General features: G+C 45.2%; 1 protein-coding gene and 2 long non-coding RNA genes across 3 annotated transcripts in view, besides 1 other annotated feature; 2 read left to right on the top strand and 1 right to left on the bottom strand.

Annotated features, from left to right (window-relative positions):
* Positions 1–9,011, bottom strand: part of LOC105371460 (uncharacterized) — a 32,490-nt gene extending 23,479 nt beyond the window's left edge. Inside the window, exon 1 of the long non-coding RNA XR_922187.3 lies at positions 8,739–9,011. This is a non-coding gene — a long non-coding RNA (uncharacterized LOC105371460). The remainder of the gene's footprint in view (positions 1–8,738) is intronic.
* Positions 9,012–9,095: 84 nt separating this feature from the next.
* LINC01704 (long intergenic non-protein coding RNA 1704) lies at positions 9,096–17,692 on the top strand. The gene is made up of 3 exons (NR_033946.1): positions 9,096–9,238; positions 16,543–16,621; positions 17,080–17,692. It is a non-coding gene; the product is annotated as a long intergenic non-protein coding RNA 1704 (long non-coding RNA).
* Positions 17,693–21,434: 3,742 nt separating this feature from the next.
* On the top strand, positions 21,435–22,449 carry SMIM42 (small integral membrane protein 42). The gene has a single exon (NM_001395415.1). The coding sequence runs from the start codon at positions 21,662–21,664 to the stop codon at positions 21,872–21,874; it is 213 nt and encodes a 70-aa protein (NP_001382344.1). The 5' UTR covers positions 21,435–21,661; the 3' UTR covers positions 21,875–22,449.
* Positions 24,487–24,656: a silencer, noted in NCBI's record as "silent region_1448". NCBI's record gives its function as "represses an Ori minimal core promoter by ATAC-STARR-seq in GM12878 lymphoblastoid cells {active_cell/tissue: GM12878}" and the evidence as "EXISTENCE:reporter gene assay evidence [ECO:0000049][PMID:35858748]".

Below are 26,776 nucleotides of genomic sequence, written 5' to 3'. Positions count from 1 at the left end.
CGCATGCGCACATCGAGGCTCCCCGACATCAGGCGCGGGTCTTTAATTACATATTTTGCTATGCTCCAGGCTATGCATTTGGAACAGTGCTTTCCTTTTTATCTTTATTTTGTTTCTTTTGCTTAACTTCGGGATGCAGCAATGAAGTGTTATTAAAAGAGCCCTAAAGCTGAGAGTGAAATTTGGACTCTGTAACAAACCAGCTGTGGGGTCTTAAGCAAGTCACTTAAACGTGGGGACCTCGGCCTCCAAACCAGATGACACTCGAGGCACAGCCTGCCTCCTATCGCTGCTGGAAAGACTGTGGAAATGGTACTGTTGGTGCCCATAGACCTCCAGACCCCCATGGGACAGCAGCTGGGCATTCCTCCACCATTGAATGAAGTGTGAGCAGGGACTGGAAACCGGACAGCAATTCTAGGGCCAGTTGGAAGGAGAGGTAGGGAAAGAGAAGCTTCCTTCGCCTTTCCCTCGAGCCCACGTCTCATCAGTAAGCAATTCCTGACAGTTCTCCACCTACATATCTTCCCACTTTTCTCCATCCACACTGCCATTTCTCTATCTCCACTGCCATACCATTTTCTCTTGCTTAAATGATTTCCCTGTTTCTAGTCCCTACCCTACCGGCTGTGGGATCATTCTAAGATGCAAATTTGATCATTAAAATATTTCATGGCTTCTCTTGGCCCACAGAATAAAGTCCGAACACCTTAACAAGGCTGTCATTGCCTGACTTCTTCCTAGTCTTCCAGACTTCCTTCTCTCCCTCTGTGTTCCAGTCATCTTCAGAAACTATCAGTTTAACAAACCAGGCTGCCTCTTACTTCAAAGACTTTTTGCATGTAGAAACAACTTAATGAACATTCTGAACTCTGCTGAACATATTCTCAATGAGGTTTTAACCAGTGCCTTCAACCATACTCTCAGTTCTTCCAGCCCTGACGGATTCTGTAGTTTTCTGTTTACTTAATTATTAGAAGTCCAGTCTAATGCAGTCCACTTAAAATCTTACATCTCATTTCAAGTTTTGCAGTGAGATTTGCAAAACTTCCTTCCTTCCCCTCAGCACCAGCCAGACTTGAGCAGTGGAGCTTGGTTTGGGGAAGTGGTGTATTCTGTCCTTTAATAGAAGTCTGCCTTTCCCAAAAATACTTATTGTGTTGGGACCCTGAGGAAAAATCAGGGAGGGCTGGGAAGTGAGGGCCAAAAGTCATTTTGCCTAACTGGGCATTTAATTGCAATTGTCTGTTGGTTCTCTCCACCTCTCAGTTGAAGGCTGATTGGTCACGAATACCTTCCATTTGGAAGGTACCCAAATGCTAGTTCTTAATAGGCACATGGGTTAGTTCCCTGGGAGCTCTCCCCAGTACACAATTCCTTGATGGGAGATCTGCTGCAGCTTAAAACTGTTACTGGTAGAGGGTCTTGACTGCAAGTTGTCCAGATTTTTGGCGTTTTCAACAAAGGATTGGACAAAACGCACAGCAAAGCAAGGAAAGAAGGAACAAAAGCAGAGATTTATTGAAAGTGGAAGTACACTCCACAGTGTGGGAGCAGGCTGAGCAGAGGCTCAAGGGCTCTGATGCAGCATTTTCTTGGGTCCAAATACCCCCTAGAGGTTTCCCATCGGCCACTTGGTGTTCACCCCATGTAAATGAAGTGGTGGCCCACAATCAGTCTGATTGGTTGTGGAAAACAACCAATCAGAGGCTGAAGTGAAGTTACAAAGTTACACTCCTATGCAAACATCTGATTGATTGCAAAAAGCAACCAATCAGAGGTACTTTCAGTTTCCCATCTGCCCTGCAGAAAAGGTAGGAGTTTTTAAAGGGAGCAGCTTCTGGTCCTTTTGTTACTTAGGCGTGGAAAGTTAAGGCTTTCCTTTCAATTTAGTTCTAAGGAAGTCGGCATGAAACCGCCTTAGGTTCCTTGCCTTCAGACCCTATTCTCCTGCCTCATAACTACTTCCCACAACCCCTCAGCCCTGCTCTTGGTGGTATAACTAGGTTCCCTGGCTTGGCAGCCAATTCTCTTGGAAGGAGAACCGGCAAGATGGCCCACACCCTGTTGAGTTTCACACTGTTCATTTAACTCACAGTAAACTCACACCGATTTCCACACTGTTCATTTGACTCACACATCCTTGCTAAACCAAGTGGTAAGAGTGATAGCTCTTTCCCTGTCATCCTTCTCTCCCTGCTCTAGTGATCACAGAGTACAGATCAACAAGCTCATCAGCAGATATCCAACCAGAGATTGAGATAACAGTCTCTTCTTGCCAGCCCACCAATTTCTATGAGTGATTCTCTTGGAGACCCCTCACTTGGAGGAGGTGAGAACAAAAGTCACATCACTCATTTCCGTGGCTGGGTACACACGACTCCATCAGTGCCCTTTCTCTTTTTACCTCCATATTATCTTCTAGGGGATGGTTTTAAATCTAGGAGATGTTAAGGATGGGGAGCTGTAGTATGGTTCGGGGTAGCAGAACTAACTTTCCACTTTTAATGGCACCTCTAGGATGTTAGCGCAGGACAATATATTCCAAGTGGCCTTGGACAAACCCAGTTCTCCTCTCTTTCTTGCTTGTTATTCTCAAGAAAAACTGTAAAATGTGCTGGGAATACAATATCCTGAGAAAGGAAGGAACCGCTTGAAATAGACTGGGCCTCCTTGTTCCTGTCCCTCCTAGGGAATGTAACATCTGGAGTTAGAGAGGAGGTGCCAGGGACAGCCCAGGCTTTGTACCTCTCTCCCCTGGAAGCAGGATGCCCTTCCCAGCTTTGTCCAGTGAGTCACATGACCCCTGAGGTATATAACTCATAGTGGGCTGCCTTTTGGGGCCCCTCACTTGTGGTGCACATGGGGCATGTACGGGCAACACTCAATCCTGCCCAGGAAGCTTCCTTGAGCCTTGAGGGCTGCCTCACAATGGATCCTAGGCTTCTTTTTTCCCTTGCTGCTTGCCTGTAAGTAATAATCCCACCTCACAAAATTTGTTGCATGTGAGTGTATCTCCAGCAGACATTGGTAGACCTTCAGGCCAGGATGTAGTGGGCAGAAGTGTGTGGGCTCCTATTTCTGTCGATTGGCATAGTGTCGATCTCTGCTGTCCTGCTTGTAGTGGGAGTCTTCTCTTGGGATTGGTTATTAGTGAACCTGCCTCACAAAATTGATGCTATGAGCAGGGTCTGATCTGACAGAACCATGGCTTTCTGGTGAAGTGGGACGGTGATATCCCCCTGTATCTGACCCAAGGCAGAGATGTCAGCCTGGGCATTCAGGAACTGACGGGACATGCAGCTGGATGAGTCATGGGGAGGGAAGGATGATAAGCGAAACATAGTCTCCCCACCTCCCCTGCAGATGGGAGTGAGCTGGCTGCATAGACCGAGGAGAGGGTATGGAATGTAGAAACAGGATAGAGCAGTGTACAATTCCCTGGGTGTTGGGCACTTACGTAATCGCTCATTCCCAGGCCAGAGAGCTTGGGAAGTGGGTATTCTGATGGACCCTGAGGCACTTGAGAGAGAATGGGAAAGAGGTCCTCAGACAGTCCCTGGAACATCTGAGAGGGAACCAACACACACAGGGTGGGTCTTCACAGATGGGGAGACCGCCTATCTAAAGGATGGATATGGAGGAAGGCCAGGGAAGTCTTACGCAGCCTGGGCGGTGTGTTTGATAAAGGACACTGCAGACCCAAATGTCTCAGGCTGAATGGTGCAGTTAGAAATGGAGCCAAGGTCTCTGGGTCCCCACTGAGTACCAATGGCTCCATACTCCTGTCAGGATAAAAGGGGGAAGGAGAAGGATTCAGACTTTTCTGGGGTTCTTGTGCCCTGGGGCCCACATTACAATATTTCCAGGTCCCCTTAGGGGAAAAAAAGTTAAACTGATGACATCAGGAAGTTTGGAAATGAATATGGTAGCTCATGGTACCTATTTGCTTGTGGTGCTTATCTGCTTGTGGGTGGGGCCCTTTGGGCCATTTCAGGTGCCAGTGATCATGATTCCATCACTAAGTGTATTGTAGGCACTGACATTTTGGCTGCTTCTGGAACAAAATATCACCACTGCCTGAGGGGGTATGTCCTTTCACAGCTAAGAGTTCAAGCCATTAACAGTGGGGTATAGGCACTCCTGCCTGCCACCTAAGCTACTCAGGACCCATTGGGTTACTAAAAAAAAAAAGCAGTATTACATATTAAATGGAGAACAGGACATTACTTAGCTAATTCAAAACTTGCTACAGATAAAAATGTTATAAGCTATGCTTTCACAGTGTAACTGCCCAATTTGGCCAGTCAGAAATGCCTTTGGGGCATGGAGACTCACAATGGACTGTCCCAGGCTGAATGCCAAGGCCATCTGGGCTGGAAGCCAAAGAAGTATCCCAGATAAAGTCAAGCAAAAATGTTTAACCCTCATAGCATCCACTAATAAAAAGGAGGCCCAACAGCTGGTCAACCTCTTTGGATACTGACAACAGTATGTACCTTACCTAAGTGTCCTTCTGGCCCCCTTAGTCAAAGTGACCAACAAATTCCCCACTTTGAACAAAGAGCCCTTTGCAATGGCAGGCCTTGGAAGCCATTCAAAAAGCTGTGGCCCAGGCATTGACTTTAAAACCTTGACAGCCTGCTAGCTTAATGGAGTTAGAGGTCCACAACCCCCATGCCTGCTGACTGGAGTCTGTGCCAACAGAAAACTGCCATTGGGTTATACCAGCCTCTCATTTTAAACACATAAGTTGTGCCAGGCATGGTGGCTCACGCCTGTAATCCCAGCACTTTGGGAGGCCGAGGCGGATGAATCATGAGGTCAGGAGATAGAGACCATCCTGGCCAACATGGTGAAACACCGTCTCTACTAAAAATACAAAAATTAGCCGGGTGTGGTGGTGTGTGCCTGTAGTCCCAGCTACTCAGGAGGCTGAGGCAGGAGAATCACTTGAACCCAGGAGGCAGAGGTTGCAGTGAACTGAGATCGCACCACTGCACTCCGGCCTGGGCAACAGAGCGAGACTTTGTCTCAAAAAATAAATAAATAAATAAATAAACACATAAGTTGCCTGAGGCAGCCACCAGATACGTCTGTTCTGAATTCAACCCCTTGCTTGCTATTGGGCACTCTTGGGGACTGAACATCTTACAGCCTGAAGGACACATGTGACACTGTAACCTGAAGTGGCCATTCCCACTTGAGGGCTCACAAACCCCAACTATACAATTGGATGTGCATGACAGATATCAGTTATCAAATATAAATGGTACATTCAAGATTGAGCCCAGCCAGGACCCCAGGGGACCAGTATGCTCCATAAACAAATGGCTGGCTTATCAGAAGGAGCAAAGCTAGCCATACTGAATGCTCCAGAATGGCTGGCTTGGCTCCCTCTGAGGCCATCCAGGGCCCAAGACTCAGAGACTTGCCTACTGATGGCATGGCAGGTTTACTGACGGAGCTGTAAAACAAGAAGACAGGTCCACGAGGTTGTGGCTGCCATCTGGCCAAGGGATGGTCATATATTGACTGAGACTGAACATGAATGTTCTGCCCAATGGGTCAAACTACAGGAAATGATGATGGCCATCCAGGCCACCTCTACCATCGTATCTTGCTATATTTTCACAAATTTATGGGCTGTTGCCAACAACTTAGCCATTCAGTCAGAGGAATGGCAACTAAGTGACTGGACTATTAATGGATTCCTTGTATGGGGAATAGGACTATGGCAGCAGCTTGCTGCTTGGAAGGGAGACATATATGTCACTCATGTGAATGCTGGGACTACCATAGAGCCCCTTGAGAGGAAATTATGTCATATTTTTGGACACTTCATGGGACTTTACTCTGACCAAGGAACATCCTTCACTGCCCAGGGAACGTGATGGGCACACTCTTAGGGAGTATCATGGACTTTCCATGCACCCTGTTATGTGCAGGCCAATGGAGCTATTGAACACTGGAATCGCTAGCTGGCTCAGACAGCAATGAAAAAAGGACATCAAGACAGCCTGCTGGTGTGGAATACCTGCATCTGACTAGAGCAGAATGGACACTAAATTCTACACTCCAATGCAAAAGAAACATGGCACTGCAGCACATGTTGGGAAAACACTGAGCTTGGTGGAGATGGAGGTGAACCAGGCAACCACCTGATTAGGCTATGCCTGGAAAATCCTAATCTCAGTATTCCCAACCATTCTTCTTCTGTTTTCCCTTAAGAGTGCATATTCTGGAGGTAAGTTCGAGATTCAGGCCATTTTGGCACCCTGAACAGGGCCTCCCCAACTCTAATCTTCAGGTGATACTTCCCCTGCTGCCTCCCTTCTATGGGATACTACAGGAGTGGGAGACAGAATCAAGGAGTACCAGGTGTTAGGGTTCCTCTACTGGCACTGGGAATGTCTGATCTTTCCAGTCAGGTGGGTAGTGTTATCAGATGTCAAATTTGTACCCAACGTAATTTCCCTACATGGGCTAGATAACTGAGGCTGCAAGGCCTGGGTCAAGCAACAAGGGTAATGGTGCCTACAGAGGTGGTAGCTTGGGAACTGGGACAGACTGGATCACTACACCACCTCAGCCCAACCCCTATCTGTTAGGCAGGAACTACCTGGACCTCAGGGAAGGGGAAGGGGAAGTAACCTGTCAATCTACTTCTTCCATGAGGACATGGCAGTAGAAGCCTGGAGCATAACACTTTCATTAGGCATTCCCAAGCTGTGACCACTGCAGGTTGCCTGACTAAGTGCTGGATCCTCCATCCCAGACTTTGTTCTGTTGCAGACCACACAGACCCTCTCATCCTGCCAATGGTAAAGTACACCAGCATTCCTAAAGCCACAACGTACACTAACAGAATCCAAGCCCTGGTTACTGAGTGAGGATCTGGCACTTGCCACTTAAGAGGGGGCTAGAGGTGCCTGTTACAACTTAACTGACTCAAAGTGTCACAACCACATCTAACAAAACCTTGGTGGGCTGCTGCTTTGACGCAACATAGTCCTTTGACTACTTGGATCAGAAATGTCCCAGCAGTGATGACAAAAACAAGGACTGAACAAATGCTAGTCCTTTGTGTAGGGCTTCATGAGCAATATCGAATGGGAGAACTCAGCTCATACAACTATGTGATTAATGAGGCCTAGCTGGTGCATGCCAATGCCTACGTACTATGAACAGGTCACTGAACAATGAAACGGGAATGGATGCTGTGTGCACCCGAGGGCTACATCTTTCTCTGAGGGCAGCTGGAGGTGACCCAAATATGGGAGGGGCAATGTCATGCCTGAAAAGCTGATGGATGAGGGGATTCCATACATTGGGCCTGCTGGAGTTGCCCCTAGACAGCACTCCTTGGGGTGAGATGAACTGTTGGGCCAGCAGCCTAAACTTGTACACCAGGCTACCTAGGGACCTGCTAGGAGGAGGAGCTGACTCTGGAATTATGTCCTTTATGAGAGCTTTGGTACCATACATAGGAGTCAGAGCTGAAAAAAAAAAAAAATCTGTCCCTGACCATGAAAGATATTGTTTCTTCCACTGACCCTGCCCCTGCCCCCGCCCCTGCCATAGCAGCCCAGCAGATATCCTTCAACTTATTCAAGAAAGTTGTTTTGGACAACAGAATTCTTCTAGGCTTCCTTTCAGACCAGTCAGGAGGAATGTCATTGCCAACACTTCCTGCTCTAGATAGATAGATAGATAGATAGATAGTTATTGTGGAGACACAGGTAGGGGAGATCCGAATGCAGCCCCACCTTGCTGCAGACAGTGGGGACAACTGAAGAATCCTTCTTTGGCCTCTTTAATGAATTCTTATCTGGATCACTGGAACCTTGGGTAGGTCACTGCTCAGGCAGGTACAGCCACCCTGCTTGTGGTTATAATACTCCTGGGCCTAATAAAATGTACTCTGGCTCACTCAGTGATGTTGCACCAAGATTGTGTCAGTGAAGGTGTCACATCGGCCTGACAAGGCAAACCTCTACCTCCAGATCTGGGGAAGTCTGTGGACGTACGAAATGCACTAGCTTTGCTAAGAGGGATATCTGGGTTGGTGGGGGGTGACCGCAGGACAGTCCTCCAGGGGGCCTTGGACTGACCTAATTCTCACCCCCTTTCTTGCTTGCAGTTCTCAAAAAAACTGTAGAATATGCTGAAAACGTAATACCCAAAATAGGCCTGGCATGGTGGTTCATGCCTGTAACCCTAGCACTTTGGGAGGCCGAGGAAGGCAGATCACTTGAGATCAGGAGTTCGAGACCAGCCTGGCCAACATGGTAAAACCCTGTTTCTACTAAAAATACAAAAATTAGCCAGGTATGGTGGCAGGCACTTGTAATCCCAGCTATTCGGGAGGCTGAGGCAGGAGAATAGCTTGAACCCAGGAGGCGGAGGTTGCAGTGAGCTGAGATCATACCATTGCACTCCAGCTTAGGCAACAGAGCAAGACACCTTCTCAAACAAACAAACCCAAAATAGGCAGTAACTGCCTGAAACAGCCCAAGCCTCGTTTCTGTCCCTCCTAGAAAAAGTAACATCTGGAGCTAGAGAGAAGCTGCCTGGGACAGCCCAGGCTTTATTCCTCTCTCCTCTAGAAGCAGGATACCCTTCTCAGCTTTGCCCAGTGAATCACATGACCCCTGAGATATGTAACTCAGGAGGAATTGCCTTTCAGGGCCTCTCAGCTGTGTTGTGTGGGGGGCATGTACAGTCAAGACTCCAACCTTCCCAGACAGCTGTCTTGAGCCTTGAGGACTGCCTCACAATGGATCCTAGGCTTCTTTTGTCCCTTGCTGCCTGTCTGTATTATACTAAAGCCACTTCACATTACTTGTTGCATGTGAGCGTGTCTCCAACAGACACTGGTAGCACTTCAGGCCAGGATGCAGTGGGCGGAAGTGTGTGGATTCCTATTCCTGGCAGTTAGCATAGTGACGATCTCTGCTGTCCTGCCCATGGTGGGATTGGTGATTAGTCCTGCTTCATAGTTATGTGAATGCTCCTGTTTGTCCTCAGTTTGAGGTCATAATTGACAATTCCAGGGTTCCAGATACATAACATTCTGCTACACAGATGCTGTTTCCTTTGCCCAGCACACCTGTCACTCACCTCAACCCTTTCTCTCTTTTCCCCATCTTTCTGTGGCTAGCTCCTCCTCATTCTTTAGGTCTCAGTGTAGATAGCACCACTATCAGGAAGGAGTCCAGACACTGCCAGGCCTAAGGTAGGAGACTAATCTTCTGCTTCCAAAGCTCCCTGTGCCTTCCTCATCACAGCGCTTCCCAATTATGTTTCAAATTAGTCTGTCTTCCCAGACTAGACTAAGCCCCGTGAGGGCTGAGACAGTGTGAGCCCGTTTTGTTCATGTTTGCACCCAAAATACCTTGTGTACAAAAGGCACACAATATTAGTTGACTAAACTTGTGAACGAATTTTTTTTATGGTTTTGAGGAAGAGGGAGCTTGTGTGTGTTTGGAAAAAGCCTGGACTCCTATTGATAACACCACCATCCCTGCAGCTCCCTCCTCCTCGAGAGCCACTGCCCTTTATTCCTGCTGCACATATCAGATTATGTTTGCAGAAAAATATTTGAATATCTCAAGGGCTATGTTTGAATCTGCACTTCTATAAATCAGATTTATTTGGTCAACCCCATCCTGTAAAGGCTTGCAAAAGAGAAAACTATGAGACAGCTAAGGATGGTGTATTATCCTGAACTTTTTGCTCCATTCCTCACAAGGCTTTTCTTGGTTAATTAAAAGCCTGACTCGGGCGGGTGGGGTGGCTCACACCTGTAATCCCAGCACTTTGGGAGGCCGAGGCGGGCGGATCACAAGGTAAGATATCGAGACCATCCTGGTCAACATGGTGAAACCCCGTCTCTACTAAAAATACAAAAATTACCTAGGCATGGTGGTGTACGCCTGTAGTCCCACCTACTCGGGAGGCTAAGGCAACAGAATCGCTGGAAACTGGGGGGTGGAGGTTGCAGTGACTGGAGATTGTGCCACCGCACTTCAGCCTGGTGACAGAGCAAGACTCCATCTTAAAAAAAAAAAAAAAAAAAAAAGCCTGACTCAGCCAGTAGGAGCTCCCTTCCCACCAACTGACTATAATGAAAGGGAAATTATGGCTTCTTCTACTACTACACAACAGCCTTTGGATGCAACATTCCACCATTTATTTGTTCAACAAAATACTATTAATATTAACTGACCTGGAAGGGCTGAGAGGGCTTTAATGTACATCCAGCTGGGGCCCTTCATGCTACTAGGGACACAGTGAGTGATGAAAACTTCCCCAAAGTAAGGATATTCCTATGCTTGGACACTAAGGTAGAGTTCTCAGGGGCTAGGGCCTGTCATTCCTTCTCTTTCTCTTCTTCTCCACACCTCCACAATGGAACAGAAAGCAACAGTTGTGCCCCAGAAAAAAAATGCCTCTTGGCCTTCAGAACCCTGGGGTGAAACAGAATATCATTCCCAGGAAGTAGCTCCAGACATAAAATTCTCCCCATATTATCTACCCTGGGTTATCTATTTTGTTCTTTAAAATAGGGGCAGCATTTTTGTCTAAAAAAAAAAGTTCCAGGATTAAATAAAACATTAATTAATCTAGAATATTGCACTCATCTGTTCACCCAATGAATATATAGTGAGGAATATTTATATGCAAGTTTCTGTGGATACTTAAAGATTTAATTCCTGCTCTCAAGTTGCTCACGATCTAGTGAGAAGACGGAAACAGTTTCAGCACTAAGCACTATGATAGGGTTATACATTTATGGCCAGAAAGTGGAGGAGGTCAGGGGAAGCTTCCCAAGGAAAACAACACTGGCTTAGTCTTAAAGTTGGGGTGACCGAGCAGAGAAGGGTGGAGGGAGGTGATGCAGAATTGCAGACAGAGTGAACACCAGGTACAGAAGCCAGGCGATCATAGACATAAGCCCTTGCTGAGCACTTATCCTGGGATGGGTGCTACATTAAGAGCTCAACCACAAATCTTTGAAATAGGGCCTATGCCCCCTTTCATATATGAGGAAACTGAGGCGTGGAAGGGCTAACTACATAAATTGAACAAACTTGCAGTTTTCTTAACAAGTGATGAAGCCAAGACTCAAACCAGAAAGTTTGAGTCCAGAGTCACTGCTCTTCACCACTTCATTACCTGGAACTTGCTATTGATGTAAAGTGTCTTTTGTAAAGGAATATAAGATGCCCGAGAAAGAAGGACAGGAAAACAGACTAGGCAGTGGACAGAAAAGCATGTCATGAATGTAGAGTTTATAAGCCCTATGGTGGCATCTGGACTTATATTAAAGGCAACAGGGACCCAAATGATGGATTTTGAGGAGAGAAGTGGCCTGACTTATTTATGTGTATTATTCCATTAACATTGAATAGTATGGATGATAACAGAATAAGACTACTAGAAGTAAGAAGACCATTGGTAAACTGTTGTGGTGACCCAGGCAAGAACTGATGAGGACCAGGAAGTGAAAGCTTGAACTAAGGTAGAAGCAATGAGGATAAGGAGGAAGAGATGGGTATGGGGGGTGTCTCAGAAGTGGAATTGACAGGACATTGAAATTGAATCAGTGCAGAGAGTCACGAAGAAAGAGCAGTCATGAATCCCAGGTTCTTTGTTTTAGAGGTAGGGTATGGAGGAGAAGCAGATTTGAATGAGAAGATAATCAGGGTGGGTTTGGGTGTGATGGGTTACAGATGCTTGTGGGAAGATTCAACTAGACAAGACAATGGGAAGTTCCCTATATGAGTCTGGAGTTAGGAGTGAAATCTGAGTAGAGATATATGTTAGAGAGCCATTGGAACATAGGCTGTCATTGAGATCATGAGAATGGGCGAGATAACCCAGAGAGGATCTCAAAAGTGAAAAAGACTGAGGGTGGACACTAGGGAAACACCAAACACACAGAAGGAGAACTGGAGGCAGGAGGCAGAGGAGGAGCTGAAATAGGAGAAAAATTGTGTGGGCATGCCACCCCTGAAGCGAAGAGGAGAAAGAGGTTTAGAGAATGAGGAATTGATCAATTCTGCTATGTCAAGGTAGAATTGGAAAGTGCTCTTATATATGGGATGAAGTTGTTTGTTGTTGGCCCTGGGAAAAATTGAGTGGTGAGGATGGAAGAAAAATCAAAGTGGGTTTCAGAGCATGTGGAAGGGAGGGGATGGAGGCAGCACTTTTCAGGAAGCTTGGCTTTGATGGAAAGTAGGAGAGAACACAGGAGCAAGGGAGTTGCTGTTCAGTGTTTTGGTTTGGTTTGGTTTGGTTTTTAAATAAGAGAGACTTAGCATGGTGTATTAGTTTCCTATTGCTGCTGTAACAAATTATTACAAACTTATTGACTTAAAATAATACAAATTTACTGCCTTATGGTTCTGGAGATCAGGAGTTCTAAAATGGGTTGGCAGGGATGCATTTCTCGGGGAGACTCTAGGGGAGAATCTATTTCCTTTCTTTTTCCAGCTTCTAGAGTCTTCTTATATTCCTTGGTTTGCATCCCTTCATCAGTCTTCAAAGCCAGCAGTTTACCATTTTCCAATCTCTCTCTCTCTGTCTGTCTCTCTCTCTCCCACTACCCCTTCCCTCTCTCTGCTTCTGTTGTCACATTGCTTTATGTCTGATTTTTTTTAAGAACCCTTGTGAATTCATTGGGCCTACCCAAATAATCCAGGACAGTCTCCTCATTTCAGGATCCCTAATCATATCAGCAGAGTCCCTTTTATTATATGAGGTAACTTATTCACAGATTCTGGGGACTAGGATGTGGACATCTTTGGGGGGTTATTACTCAACTAACCACATATGGTATCTCTGCCTGGCATATAGTAAGTGCTCAAAAATATTATTACAATAAAGGTGCTGGGAAAACTGGCTAGCCATATGTAGAAAGCTGAAACTAGATTCCTTCCTTATACCTTATACAAAAATTAATTCAAGATGGATTAAAGACTTAAATATTAGACCTAAAACCATAAAAACCCTAGAAGAAAACCTAGGCAATACCATTCAGGACATAGGCATGGGCAAGGACTTCATGTCTAAAACACCAAAAGCAATGGCAACAAAAGCCAAAATTGACAATTGGTATCTAATTAAACTAAAGAGCTTCTGCACAGCAAAAGAAATTACCATCGGAGTGAACAGGCAACCTACAGAATGGGAGAAAATTTTTGCAATCTACTCATCTGACAAAGGGCTAATATCCAGAATCTACAATGAACTCCAACAAATTTACAAGAAAAAAACAAACAACCCCATCAACAAGTGGGCGAAGGATATGAACAGACACTTCTCAAAAGAAGACATTTATGCAGCCAACAGACACATGAAAAAGTGCTCATCATCACTGGCCATCAGAGAAATGCAAATCAAAACCACAGTGAGATACCATCTCACACCAGTTAGAATGGCAATCATTAAAAAGTCAGGAAACAACAGGTGCTGGAGAGGATGTGGAGAAATAGGAACACTTTTACACTGTTGGTGGGACTGTAAACTAGTTCAACCATTGTGGAAGACAGTGTGGCGATTCCTCAGGGATCTAGAACTAGAAATACCATTTGACCCAGCCATCCCATTACTGGGTATATACCCAGAGGATTATAAATCATGCTACTATAAAGACACATGCACACGTATGTTTATTGAGGCACTATTCGCAATAGCAAAGACTTGGAACCAACCCAAATGTCCAACAATGATAGACTGGATTAAGAAAATGTGGCACATATACACCATGGAATACTATGCAGCCATAAAAAATGATGAGTTCATGTCCTTTGTAGGGACATGGATGAAACTGGAAACCATCATTCTCAGCAAACTATCCCAAGGACAAAAAACCAAACACTGCATGTTCTCACTCATAGGTAGGAATTAAACAATGAGAACACTTGGACACAGGAAGGGGGACATCACACACCAGGGCCTGTTGTGGGGTGGGGGGAGGGGGGAGGGATAGCATTAGGAGATATACCTAATGTTAAATGACGAGTTACTGGGTGCAGCACACCAACATGGCACATGTATACATATGCAACAAACGTGCACGTTGTGCACATGTACCCTAAAACTTAAAGTATCATAAAAATTTATATATAAATAAATAAATAAACATTTCTATGCTGAGGAGAAAGAGCTATCAGAAAGAAAGACATTACAAACATAGGAAAGAGAGAAAGAGAGAGAGAAAGAGACTCTGAAAGAGAGAAAGCAAGAATCCCTTAGGCCAAAGGGATGGGACCCAGAACACAGCCAGAAGGAGGGACACGCTGGACATTAAGTGAGATAATGTACACGCAGCTGGCAATAATTTTTAAAATGTAGCATTCATTACATATTTGTTTGCCTGCCTTAATCCTCAAGTGTTCCTACACTAGTGAAGGATTATGATATCATCCCTGCCTCAACCTGACAACCCAGCCATATACTATTATGTAAGCTCCCCAAAATTTCACCTCTGATTTATCATTGCTTCTTCCAGAGCTCCTGGCTCTTTCTCCTTGGCAACAACAACAACAAAAAAAATTAATTAATTAATTTTTTTAAAAAAGCAAGCTCAATACATGTTTTGGGATAAATAAATTAATGAATTAATGAAAGAACAAATGAACAGCCTTGTGGACTGGGAGAACATTGATTTAGGGTGATCAGAAAGTAGCACCTTCTCAGTCTTCATTGACTTCTTCATTGCTCCCACCTGGGACACCTCCCTTCCTGTTCTTTAAGTTTTGTCTTTAAGAACAGGAAGGGAAGGTGTCCCAGGTGGGAGGAATTCTTCTGAGATAGAAAAAGGAAAGAGGGCAGGGCAAAGAGGTATGTGGCAGTCAAGTGAAAACACTGGCTGTGGCCCAGTGCGGTGGCTCACGCCTGTAATCCCAGCACTTTGGGAGGCTGAGGTGGGTGGATCACTTGAGGTCAGGAGTTCAAGGCCAGCCTGGCCAACATGGTGAAACCCCATCTCTGCTAAAAATACAAAAATTAGCCAGGCGTGGTGGTGCACACCTGTTGTCCCAGATACCCAGAAGGCTAAGGCAGGAGAATAGCTTGAATCCGGGAGGTGGGGGTTGCAGTGAGCCGAGATCACGCCACTGCACTTCAGCCTAGGCGACAGAGCGAGACTCTGTCTCAAAAAACAAGCAAACAAAAACAACCAAAAAAACACAAACCACTGGCTGGAGTAATTGAACAGGTAATTAGTAGAAGGCACTACAAGCCCCTAAGAATGAGTTTGCAATGGCACAAGATATACATTGGTGATAATTAATAATACTGTACTATAAACTGGGAAGTTGCTAAGAGAGTAGATTTCATGGGCTCTTACCACTTAAAAAAAAAAAAAGGAAAGATAAGTATGTGAGGAAGTGGACATGTTAATTTGTTTGACGGTGGTACTCATTTCACTATGTATATAAAAAAACTATGTTGCATACCTTAAAAATATATTATTTTTACTTTAAAAATTTTTTAAATAAAAATTAGAAAAAAGCTAATGACTCTAGATTTCTCAGAGATACATGAACAGTACTACAACAGAAGAAGCATGAGAATAAAAAAAGCACTGTGCTGGAAAAATTTTTTTAATCATAAACTAAATTCTTGATTCTAGCACTAATTTCTGCATGAACTTGAGCAAATTACTCAGTCTCATTGAGCCTCAATTAGCCAAAAGGACAAAGCGAGCTGATGCAGGTATAACAGCCCAGTAGCTAGCATAAGAAAAGAAATAATGCCAGTGGCTCACACCTGTAATCCCAACACTTTGGGAAGCCGAGGCAGGTGGATCGCCTACGGTCAGAAGTTCGAGAACAGCCTGACCAACATGATGAAACCCCTTCTCTACTAAAAATACAAAAACTGGTCGGGAGGCCGGGTGCGGTGGCTCACGCCTGTAATCCCAGCACTTTGGGAGGCCGAGATGGGTGGATCACGAGATCAGGAGATGGAGACCATCCTGGCTAACACGGCAAAACCCCATCTCTACTAAAAATACAAAAAAATTAGCCGGGCATGGTGGCAGCCTCCTGTAGTCCCAGCTACTGGGAAGGCTGAGGCAGGAGAATGGCGTGAACCCGGGAGGCGGAGCTTGCAGTGAGCCGAGATCGTGCCACTGAACTCCAGCCTGGGTGACAGAGCGAGACTCCGTCTCAAAAAATAATAATAATAATAAATAAATATAATTTTTTAAAAAAACTGGTCGGGAGTGGTGGCAGGCACCTGTAATCCCAGCTACTCAGGAGGCTGAGGCAGGAGAATCACTTGAACCAGCACAGCAGAGGTTGCAGTGAGCTGAGATCGTGTCATTGCACTCCAGCCTGGGCAACAAGAGTGAAACTCCATCTCAAAAAAAAAAAAAAAAAAGAGAAAAGAAAGAAAGAATGCAGTAAATTATTGCTGTTACTATCTCTCAGAGTTGTTGTTATAAATAAAACACCATGTCAAAGCACCTAGGAAATCATCTTAGTGGAGGTTCGGTAAACTTTAATCTCTTCTCTTCCACATTAGAAATGTAAATTAAATGCTCTCAAGGGATGAGAGACACTGGAAGCTGGGACGCTCTTGGAACTCTGTTGCCATCATCAAGGTGAGAAAACTCAGGGCCTGGTTCAGAGTCCATGGAGGACTCAGGTATTTGAGGTTTAAGTGGTTGGTACGTAATGTCTCCATTTTCCACCTTAATATAAAACGTGTCTCTTTTTCTCATCCAAGTTTTGGACCAGCGGAGACAAAGAAATGAGGCAGATAGCAAAACTCACCTTTATAACTGATTGAAAAAAAACATGGTGGACTGACTCACCACCCAACATAATTATCGATGGAAAACACAGGTCTCTCACTCCTGGGGACATAGCCCTGGGAAATGTACAGAAAGCAGCAGGTGCATGGGGTGCTTTCTGCATCCTGGGGCCAAGAGTGACAGCCAGAGCCTAGAGAGGCCAGGAGTGTTTGTTTAATAGGGTTTCTGCCCCAAGAAAGAAAACACCAGCAATGTAGAGAAAGTGTTCCCCCAATGGCATGTTCTATTTCTTTTTTTCTACTTAGGCTTCCAGATACAGCCCTCTAGGTCATCCAGAGGTGCCAGCCAGCCCTCACCAGTGGTCAGCTTTTCCTCAGTGGAGTGGTAGGTGAGCCAGTGGAGCTTGCTCTGAAGATACTAGAGGGAGCCAAAGCTGTCTGGCCCTTCAGTGTGACTCAGTTTCCAGACTCTTTCTCTTTAGACATAAATGAAGAACAAGTCAACCTTGATGCCTTTGAGGGTTGGTTCAGCGGATGATGTGTTGTGGGGTTTTCCCACAGGTCAGCAGTCCAACTACCAGGGCCAGAGCCCCATCAAAGAATCTTCAGTGCCAGCCAGAAAGAATGATGAACTCCTCGTGTAAAGGGAGTTTGGGGCAACCAGTCAAACCATGGCCTCATGGGAAGCAGCTGACTAGGCAATGAGAGAGGAATACAAAAGACAAGGCACTGCGAAGCCAAGTCTGGTTGGGGAGAAGAAACCAATATGCCTGAAACAGGGAACCAGAAAGGACTCAGACAAAACTGCTGACAAGTATGGGGTTTCTTGGGGTAGGTGGTGAAAATATTCCAAAATAAGATTATAGCGATGTTTTAATAATCCCCTGGATATAATAAAAAAACATCGAATTGTACACTTCAAATGAGTGAACTGTGTGGTATGTGAATTATATATCTCAATAAAGATGTTTTAAAAAGAAGACACAGGCTGGGCACAGTGGCTAATGCCTGTAATACCAACACTTTGGGAGGCTGAAGTGGGCAGATAGCTTGAGCCCAGGAGTTTGAGAACAGCCTGGGCAACATGGTGAAACTCTGTCTCTGCAAAAAATACAAAACAAAACAAAACAAAAACAGCTGGGTGTGGTGGTGCTAGCTGTAGGTATGGTGGCATGCGCCTGTAGTCCCACCTACAAGGGAAGCTGAGGTGGGAGGATCAACTGAACCTAGAAGGTTGAGGCCATGCCACTGCACTCCAGCCTGGGCAACAGAGCAAGACCCTGTTAGTGTGCCAAAAATTGTGTGACTTTAGTCACTTCCCTTCTTTATGCCTCAGTTTCCTCATCTATTAGGTGAAGGAGTGGGAATAGATGACCTCTCTAAGGTTCCCGTATTAACTTCCTGGGGCTGCCATAATAGATTACCACAAATTTGGTGGTTCAAGGCAACAGAAATTCATTCTCTCACAGCTCTGAAGGCTAAAAGTCTGAAATCAAGATATAAATACCAGGCTCCCTCCAGAGGCTATAGGGGAGGATCCACTCCTTGCCCCTCCCAGTTTTTGGTGACTGTTGTCATTACTTGGCTTGTGGCCGTGTCTCTCTCTCTGCTCTGTCTCCTTCTCCTTTGTGTTCTGTCTCTCTCAAAACTCCTTTCTCCTTTCTCTTAGAAGGATATATGTGATTATATTTAGGCCCCACTTGGATCATCCAGGATAAACTTCTCCTCTCGAGATCCTTAATTTAATCACATCTTTTGACATTCCCATGCTCTAGGGAATTGACATAGATACCTTGGAACTGGGGGTGGGGGGCAATTTACTTATAGATCTTTGCATGTTTATAAGAGAGTGAGAGAACTGACTTGAGAAAAGTTGAACTACCTTATTTTTTCCAGAAACCCCCTGTTCACTTCCCTTCACCTCCATCCTAGATCGTATTTAAAATAACTTACACTTGTATGGAATTTTATGGTTTGAAAGTTATTATGCATTTATCAGCTCATTTTATTCTCATAAAAACCTATAAATTTGGTATTATCACTATAATTCCATTTCAGATGAGTAAATGGAGGCTCAGAGACACTAAATGACCTAACCAAGGTCACTAGCATGTAAAGTACTAGTGCCCAGACTCTGATCTGAGTCCTTGGACTTCAATTCCTGTAACTCCCGCACTGCCATCATTTGCCTGACCCTTGGTATAGCACCAAGGGGTTCTACACAAAGAAGAGTGGATGCACTTGGAGTAGATTCACTTCTTCCCATTCCTCCTGCTAAACTAAACACAGCTAAAGCCCTTGGACATTATATATAAAACTAACATAAAAAGACAGAAAGGTGCAGAAAAAGAAGCAGACTGACTAGCAACCTTGGAACCTTGATTTTGGAACCCAAGAATTGAATGGCAGTGAGTTTGTGGATTTTCTTTTTGCCTCGCAAATCCTGAACTAGGTGCTAGAGAAGCAGCCCAGAAATGCCAAAGAGCATGCACAAAATAAGGTCCCAAGAAAAGCCTGCTTGTTCTCTTTAGCCAAAGCACTAGGAAGGCAATTCAGCAAGGCAGAAACTTTTAGAGAATAACTTTCCTACTCTAGCCAAACACCATGGAAAAATATCACAGCCCTACCACCACCCCTGTTAGCAAAGGCCAAGTGGGGAGCCTAAACTTCCACCTTTAATTAGCTGTAAGGAGGTACCCTCCCCAGACTCCACCCCTCACCAGGGTGTTATCAGAGAATATGGAGTGGGGAGCTGGGACTTTCATCCCTATCCAGAGGTAACGAGCTCTCTATCCAGCAGCAGTAACAAGGCACCCTTCCAACTCTGCCAGGATGAAGTCAGAGGAGGCCATCTGGGAAGTCTGGAATCCCATATCCACCAGTAAAGCACCTTTTTCTCCACTCTGGGTAGTCAAAGGAGGCTGAGTGGAGAACCTGGACCTTCACCCTTGCTTGGCATTAGCAAAATGAAACTCCCTCCCTTAACAGGCATGGTGTCAGAGGAAGCCTGCTAAAACAGAAGATTTAAGTAAGATCCAGAGTCTCATAACACCCAAAATGTCCAGTGTACAATTAAAAAATCACACATCACACCAAGAACCAGGAAAATCTCAACTTGAATGAAAAAAAAAATCAGCAGATGGCAACACCGAGATGACACAGATATTGGAATTATCTGACAAAGATATGAATACTCTTGGCACAAAAAATAGAAAATCTTATTGAATAGAAGCTAAATGGAAATTTTAGAACTGAAAAATATAACCACCAAAGTAAAAAAAATCCATTGGATGAGTTCAATGGCAGAACAAAGGGGACAGAAGAAAGAATCCATGAACTTGAAAACAGAACTGTAGAAATGACCCAAGCTCGGTGCGGTGGCTCACACCTGTAATCCCAGCACTTTGGGAGGCCGAGGTGGGTGGATCACTTGAGGTCAGGAGTTCAAGACCAGCCTGGCCAACATGATGAAACCCTGTCTCTACTAAAAATACAAAAATTAACTGGGCGTGGTGGCGGATGCTTGTAATCCCAGCTACTTGGCAGGCTGAGGCAGGAGAATCCCTTGAATCCGGGAGGTGGAGGTTGCAGTGAGCCAAGATTGCGCCATCGCACTCCAGCCTGGGGGAGAAGAACGAGACTTCATAAAAAAAAAAAAATAAATAAAAAAAGAAATGACCCAAGCTGAATAACTTTAAATTGTGTAAATACACAGACTTCCTTATCTTCTTAAGTTTTCTAAATTGTTTGATGGCTGAAGCAAAAAGTATAACATGGCCTGAATGTGGATCTCAATGTATATAGATGAAATATTTAATACAATTATATCATAAGTGGAAAAAACAAGGGACTTACAAGAAGGTAAGGTTTCTACTTTTGTATTGAAGTGATAGAATATGGACATCAGCTGATCTTTTTTTTTTTTTTGAAACGGAGTCTCACTCTGTTGCCCAGTAGTGCAGTGGCGCCATCTTGGCTCACTGCAACCTCCACCTCCCTGGTTCAAGCAATTCCCCTGCCTCAGCCTTCCGAGTAGCTGGGATTACAGGCGCCTGCCACCACGTCCGGCTAATTTTTTTGTATTTTTAGTAGAGATGGGGTTTCACCATGTTGGCCAGACGGGTCTCAAACTCCTGACCTCAGGTGATCCACCCACCTCCGCCTGCCAAAGTGCTGGGATTACAGGCATGAGCCACTGGGCCCGGCCAGATCTTTGTGGTGATAAAATAGTTCTGTTATCTTGATTGCAGCGGTGGCTGCAAGAATCTACAGGTATGATAAAACGGCATAGACTACACATTGTACCAATGTCAATTCACTGGTTTTGATTGTGTACTATAGGGCAATATTAAGTGAAGAGTACACAGGACCCTTTTTAAGTATCTTTGCAACTTCCTGTATGTCTAAAATTATTTTAAATCCAAAAGGTTTTTAAAAAGAGGACAAAAAAAAAGAATAAAAGAGAACTGAAGGGGCATCATCACAGGCAACTGGGGAACCCCCTTTTCAATCTGGAGGCCATACGTGAGGGGAGATGGTGCTCAGAGAGCACAGGTTTCCAGCCTGGAACCTTTGGCTCAGGCCCTAGTCTCACCCTCCAGTGACATCACAAAGCCTCAGAAGCCCCACCGACCATGCAGAAGTTTTGCTAACGGAACTATCATCTGTGTTTGTATTGGAAGCAGTTGTTTGGCCTTGCTGAGCAAACGTCTATGCCTTCTCCATTACATCCAAAGGAGAATAGCCCCATGTGAAGAATGGAATCAGTAGATGTTTGGTCGCTGTACCATATCCACTCCTAGGATACAACAAGAGCAAGCCCAATTCTCTTGGTGGTGTGGGCAGTCGGCTTGCACCACGTACCTATCTCAGCTCTTTTTGGAAGCTTATGTCCTCCCCACAACTTCCAGCTTTCTTATGGGACAAGGGTACACTCACCACTGCCATATCTAATCCTGCTTGCCTGGTAAATGTTCTCTTCTTCTTTACACCCCTGATGACTCTGGTCACTCTACTCATCCTGGTCTGGAAAGTAACCAAAGACAAAAGCAACAAGAACAGAGAGACACACCCAAGAAAGGAGGCAACATGGCTGCCATAAAGATCTGGATCTCTTGGTGGGGACTCCACTGAGGTGAAGACCTGATTGTACAAGAGAGGCACGGCCACTGGAGCTGTCTCAGAGCCCAGAGCCAGGGGAGCCAGAGCTGCTTTAGCCACCCTGTTCCTCCATTGCCAGATGTCCCCCCAGGCCTCATTTCCTTCCTCTGCCACCATCCCTCTTATAATGCACTCCTCCTGCGGTTCTTTGGCTTGTCCCAGCTTCTGAGTTTGAATGTCTTTTTTTTTTTTTTTTTTTTTGTGGATCTTCAAGACTGAAATAGTAAATGGCTCTTGATTTCTGCACTAACAGAGGAAAGAAACAAGTACATGGAAAAGTAAAAATTGATTACAAAGCCTAAATTTTCCTCTATAAATTGGGCATGTGCTGACTGTGGGATATTGAAATTATTGGGAGCTCACAGCATCTCAAGTTATATAATGAAGCTATTCTGGAAGCTCATTTCCAGAAGATCCTTAAAATGAAATGGCTCACTCTCTGCTGAATTGTAGGTACACTCTTTCCTCCTCTTCACTTAATGCTGGGAGTAAAATGTATTTTTTTTATTAAGAAATGATTTGAAGTACCATACATTTTTCTCTCCTCTCTCACCCTCCAACTTAGTGGGTTGACAAAATTTTAAAATATCATATCCTAAAATGATAATTTTTCTTTTTCTTTTTTTGTCCTTTCAGAATTTGGAGCAAGTTAACTCCTTTTTCAAATGAAATCCAAATTAAAGAGGCAGTTTTTTTGAAAAACCAAACTCTTATTCAATTCGGTTTGGGTAACCCTAGGGAGAATTTTACTACTTGCCTGAAATGAATGAATATTTTTCTAGGAGAAGAACCTCTTTGCCCAGTCTATTGTTAACCCTTCCTTTTAGAAGCATCATATCAGGTGTCCTCTTGCTTCAACCCTCACATGCATTTGACTCTGGAAGTCTTAAACCAGGGCCCCTTCCCTCTAAACCTTTCCTCCATTGCTTACAATCATGGAACTGTGTTTGGCCACTGGAAGAATAAGTCACTCGGGGTATGTGGCCATGCACTCTGCATCTCAAAGCATGGGTCACTCTTTCACCCCCACTTTAGCCCATAGAAATTTGGAAGCTTGGTCCTTTGGTGCTGTAGAGAGGCTAGGGTTGCTACCAGACCCAAGGGGAGTCCACCCCAGTGAGGGCTCTCACCTGCCTCCTGGAGTGCCTGTTGCCAATGGTGGCGGTGGGTGTTTGTTTCTGTGGTTGACCAGCTTTGGCAGAAACAAACCACCAAGTAGCTGGCAGATGAAACTGAAAAGCCTCATGACTGAGAAAGACATAGCCCGGTTGCCTCTGACAGCTGAGGCCCTCTTTATTAAAAGCCACCAGCATTCCTCCCAAGCATGGTGTGCTTGGAAAATAGTGCATGCTAGGGGTGGGATGGGGAGTGGTGTCTTGACATGAGTGGGCATGGGTTCCATGCCTTTCCTTGTTGGGGAGGAGTTCCACCAAAGGTCTGTGCATGTCTTAGAATTGGCAGAAAGATCTTCAGCACTCCTAACACTCTTCAAATCTTTCTTTCCTATCATGCAGATGCCTCTATTCACCCAGCAGATATTTACTGAGCTCTCACTGTGTACCAGACCCTGTCCTGGATGCTGGGATACAAGAATAGCAGAAAGGTGCCCATCTTCTCTCTCCTAGAGCCCATACAGCACAGTGAGAGAGACAGATGTTAACGAAATAACCGCATACATGATTTTTTAATTATAAATGGAGAAAAGTGCTCTGAAAAAGGAATCTGGCTTTATGAGAGTATATATGAAAGGAATCTGACCTAGACAGAGAAAGTTTACCTGAGGAAGTAATGCTTGGGCTGAGAACTGAAGGGTGAGTGAATGAGAAACAGGTGAGGGGCAAAAGAAGGGCCAGGCCCCCCGGATAGAGAGACAGCACCGGCCAAGGCCTGTGAAGGGAGCAGTCAATGGGATAGAAAGATGGTCAGCAGTTCTGGAACACAGAAATTGAACACAAAAATAAAGCATTATGAGGCTGGAGACATAGGTGGGACTGTATCTCACAGAACCCTGGTGGGCAGTAATCACTGGTGACTGAGCTGTGGAGGGGGGATGGGGATAGATCTCTAAGGCTCCTTCCAGCTGGTGCATTTCTGCACTTACTAGTTAGGTGCATGTATTAAAAGACTCCTGGCCAGGCGGGCGCGGTGGCTCATGCCTGTAATCCCAGCACTCTGGGAGGCCGAGGTGGGTGGATCATGAGGTCAGGAGATTGAGACCATCCTGGCCAACATGGTGAAACCCAGTCTCTACTAAAAATACAAAAATTAGCTGGGCGTGGTGGTGCATGCCTGTAATCCCAGCTACTCTGGAGGCTGAGGCAGGAGAATCTCTTGAACCCGGGAGGCGGAGGTTGCAGTGAGCCGAAATCGCACCGCTGCACTCCAGCCTGGCAACAGAGCAAGACTCCGTCTCAAACAAAAACAAAAACAAAACAAAAAAAAAGACTCCTGGCCCAGATTGTTTCACACTTCCCAGAGACTCAAAGTTCCCCTCCTCCCATGGAACTCAAAGCCATTTCCTTCCATCCTCCAGGATTTAGTTACTCCCCAAACTCCTCAAGCCCCGCCTACATTCTTCTGTTTCTATTATTCAGACTTAAGGACAAACCGGCCAGGCTGCACTGTAAGCTTATGGCCATCAGATGGCAGCAAAACATCAGCAAACCTGGTCCTTGTAGCACCCGCAAAGGCAAAGGGACTCAGCTGGATAGTCAGTCCCTCCCTCCACCTCCATAAAGGCCTATAATCAAGTCATCCACAATAATGGGAATCTCTTTTCCAGAAGTTCTCCAGGGTTGGAAATTTCAGAATTTTAAAAACATGTGTTATATATTGAGCATCAATTATACACTGGTTCTTAACATATGGTATCTTTTTGCTACCTAGCTATGCTGTGAAAAGGGCATTATCCCTCCTATACAAGGAAAATTGAGGCTCGGAGCATCAGGGAGGCTGGTTATCTGTTCAAAGGCTCATAGCAGAGCCTGAATTCTTTTCCTCTCCCATGCTGCTCCCTGCATTCATCATGGAATAAGACATTTTCAGCTTCGAGGAAGCTCTTCTTTCTCTATCAGAAATCATTTTGCTCTAAAATGCTGCTGGCATTAATTTATAGTATTCTCTTTAGGGAGATGCTCTGCCAGGGGTGCCTTGTGTCTGCCTCCCTTACCTCCTATGGCTTTTCTCCAACACCCTCCAAGAGGTCTGTCGGCAGCTCCAGCTCCTGCACCTGTAGGCATCAAGTCAACAAGCACTGACCATCATAAAGCAGCCAGTGAGCAATGGGTGGCAGAGAGAAGGTGGTGAAGAGCAATGAGATGTTAATCCCTTCTTTGAGGAGCTTTAGTTCCAGATGTGGCTAAGGGCTTCCCTTGGACTAACAGCAGCCACAGGTGGTTTCTGAGACAGGCCAAGGATGGGGTGTTGGCATTCTAAAGCCTGAAGGGTCCTTGTGGGCTAGGGAAAGCATCCAGAAGCAGCTGCAATGTTAGGGAAACAGCTAGCATAGACTTAAGAGTGGAAGGGAATTCATGAGGCATGACAGGGGGGCAGTGAGCCAGCTGCATGACGCATGCAGGGAAACAATGGGGAGTCAGGTGAGAAAATAGCACTCGCCTATGGTAGAGACCTTGAATATCAGGCTAAGGTGTTCAATTTCAAGCTAGAGGGAGCCAGGGAAGGAAAGTGACACATGAAATAAACACTCAAGGTTAATCTGGCATGGTTGATGAATAGGAATAGGGAAAAATTAAGAAGATAGGCTACAATGCTATAGTTTTATCATAAAGGTTTCCAAAGTTTTATCAAAAACTTTCCAAAGTTCCCTAATTACCCTTTGGTAAGAAATAGGGAGAAATTAAGTCAAGAAGATAAGTTAAAATGCTATAGTTTTATCATAAAATGTTCCATAGTTCCTGGTTCTTTCCTGTTTCTCTGACTTTGCCTGTTTATATTTTCCACCTGAACTGCCCTTTTGTAAATATTTCTCTGCTCAGTTTTTTGTTTTTTGTTTTGTTTTGTTTTTGTTTTTTGAGACAGAGTCTCACTCTGTTGCCCGGGCTGGAGTACAGTGGTGCCATCTGGGCTCACGCAACCTCCGCCTCCTGGGTTCCAGTGATTCTAATGCCTCAGCCTCCCAAGTAGCTGGGATTACAGGCGTGCACCAAAACGCCTGGTTAATTTTTGTATTTTTAGTACAGATGGGGTTTTGCCATGTTGGCCAGGCTGGTCTTGAACTCCTGATCTCAGGAGATCCACCCACCTTGTCCCCCAAAGTGCTGGGATTACAAGAATGAGACATGGCGCCCAGCCTGTTCAACAGTTTTTTAAGAGTGTGTGTGGAGAGGTAGAAGTTGAATTCAAAGGGGTCCATCTTCAGAACTTTGTCAAAAAGCAGGCGATACCAATAAGGACCTTTGCTGACTCCCATCTTCCTAACTTGGAGCATCAGCTGGCTGGGTCAGTAGCTGAAACAGGTGATGCCACAAATTGGGGGTGGGGTGAGAAACCTAGAAAAGTTTGGGAGTCACAGAGCTGTCTTCTCAAGCGATTGAGAGATGCTCTCTAACTGTTCCAGCCCACTGAAGCTCAAAAACTGTGGATTCCCTAAGTGGGCAGGGGCAGCAGCCATAGAATCAGCACTGCCCAGAGCTGCCATCATCCAGACAGACTCATGGAGTGCCAGAGCCAGAAGCTCCTTGGCCCACCCGGAACTTCACTCTCACTTTACACAGGCCTCTGGTGCCCAGGGGTAAGTGGGGGAGGCCTGAGTGTGGAGGTGTGTTTCAGAGAAACTGGGAGTGGAATGCTGGCTCCACCCTTCATTCATACCAGCTGTGCATCC

Source organism: Homo sapiens, chromosome 1 (genome assembly GCF_000001405.40).
Source record: "Homo sapiens chromosome 1, GRCh38.p14 Primary Assembly".
Classification (NCBI taxonomy): domain Eukaryota; kingdom Metazoa; phylum Chordata; class Mammalia; order Primates; family Hominidae; genus Homo; species Homo sapiens.
The sequence above is the reverse complement of the archived record's forward strand: the minus strand, read 5'-3'. Positions and strand labels throughout refer to the sequence as shown.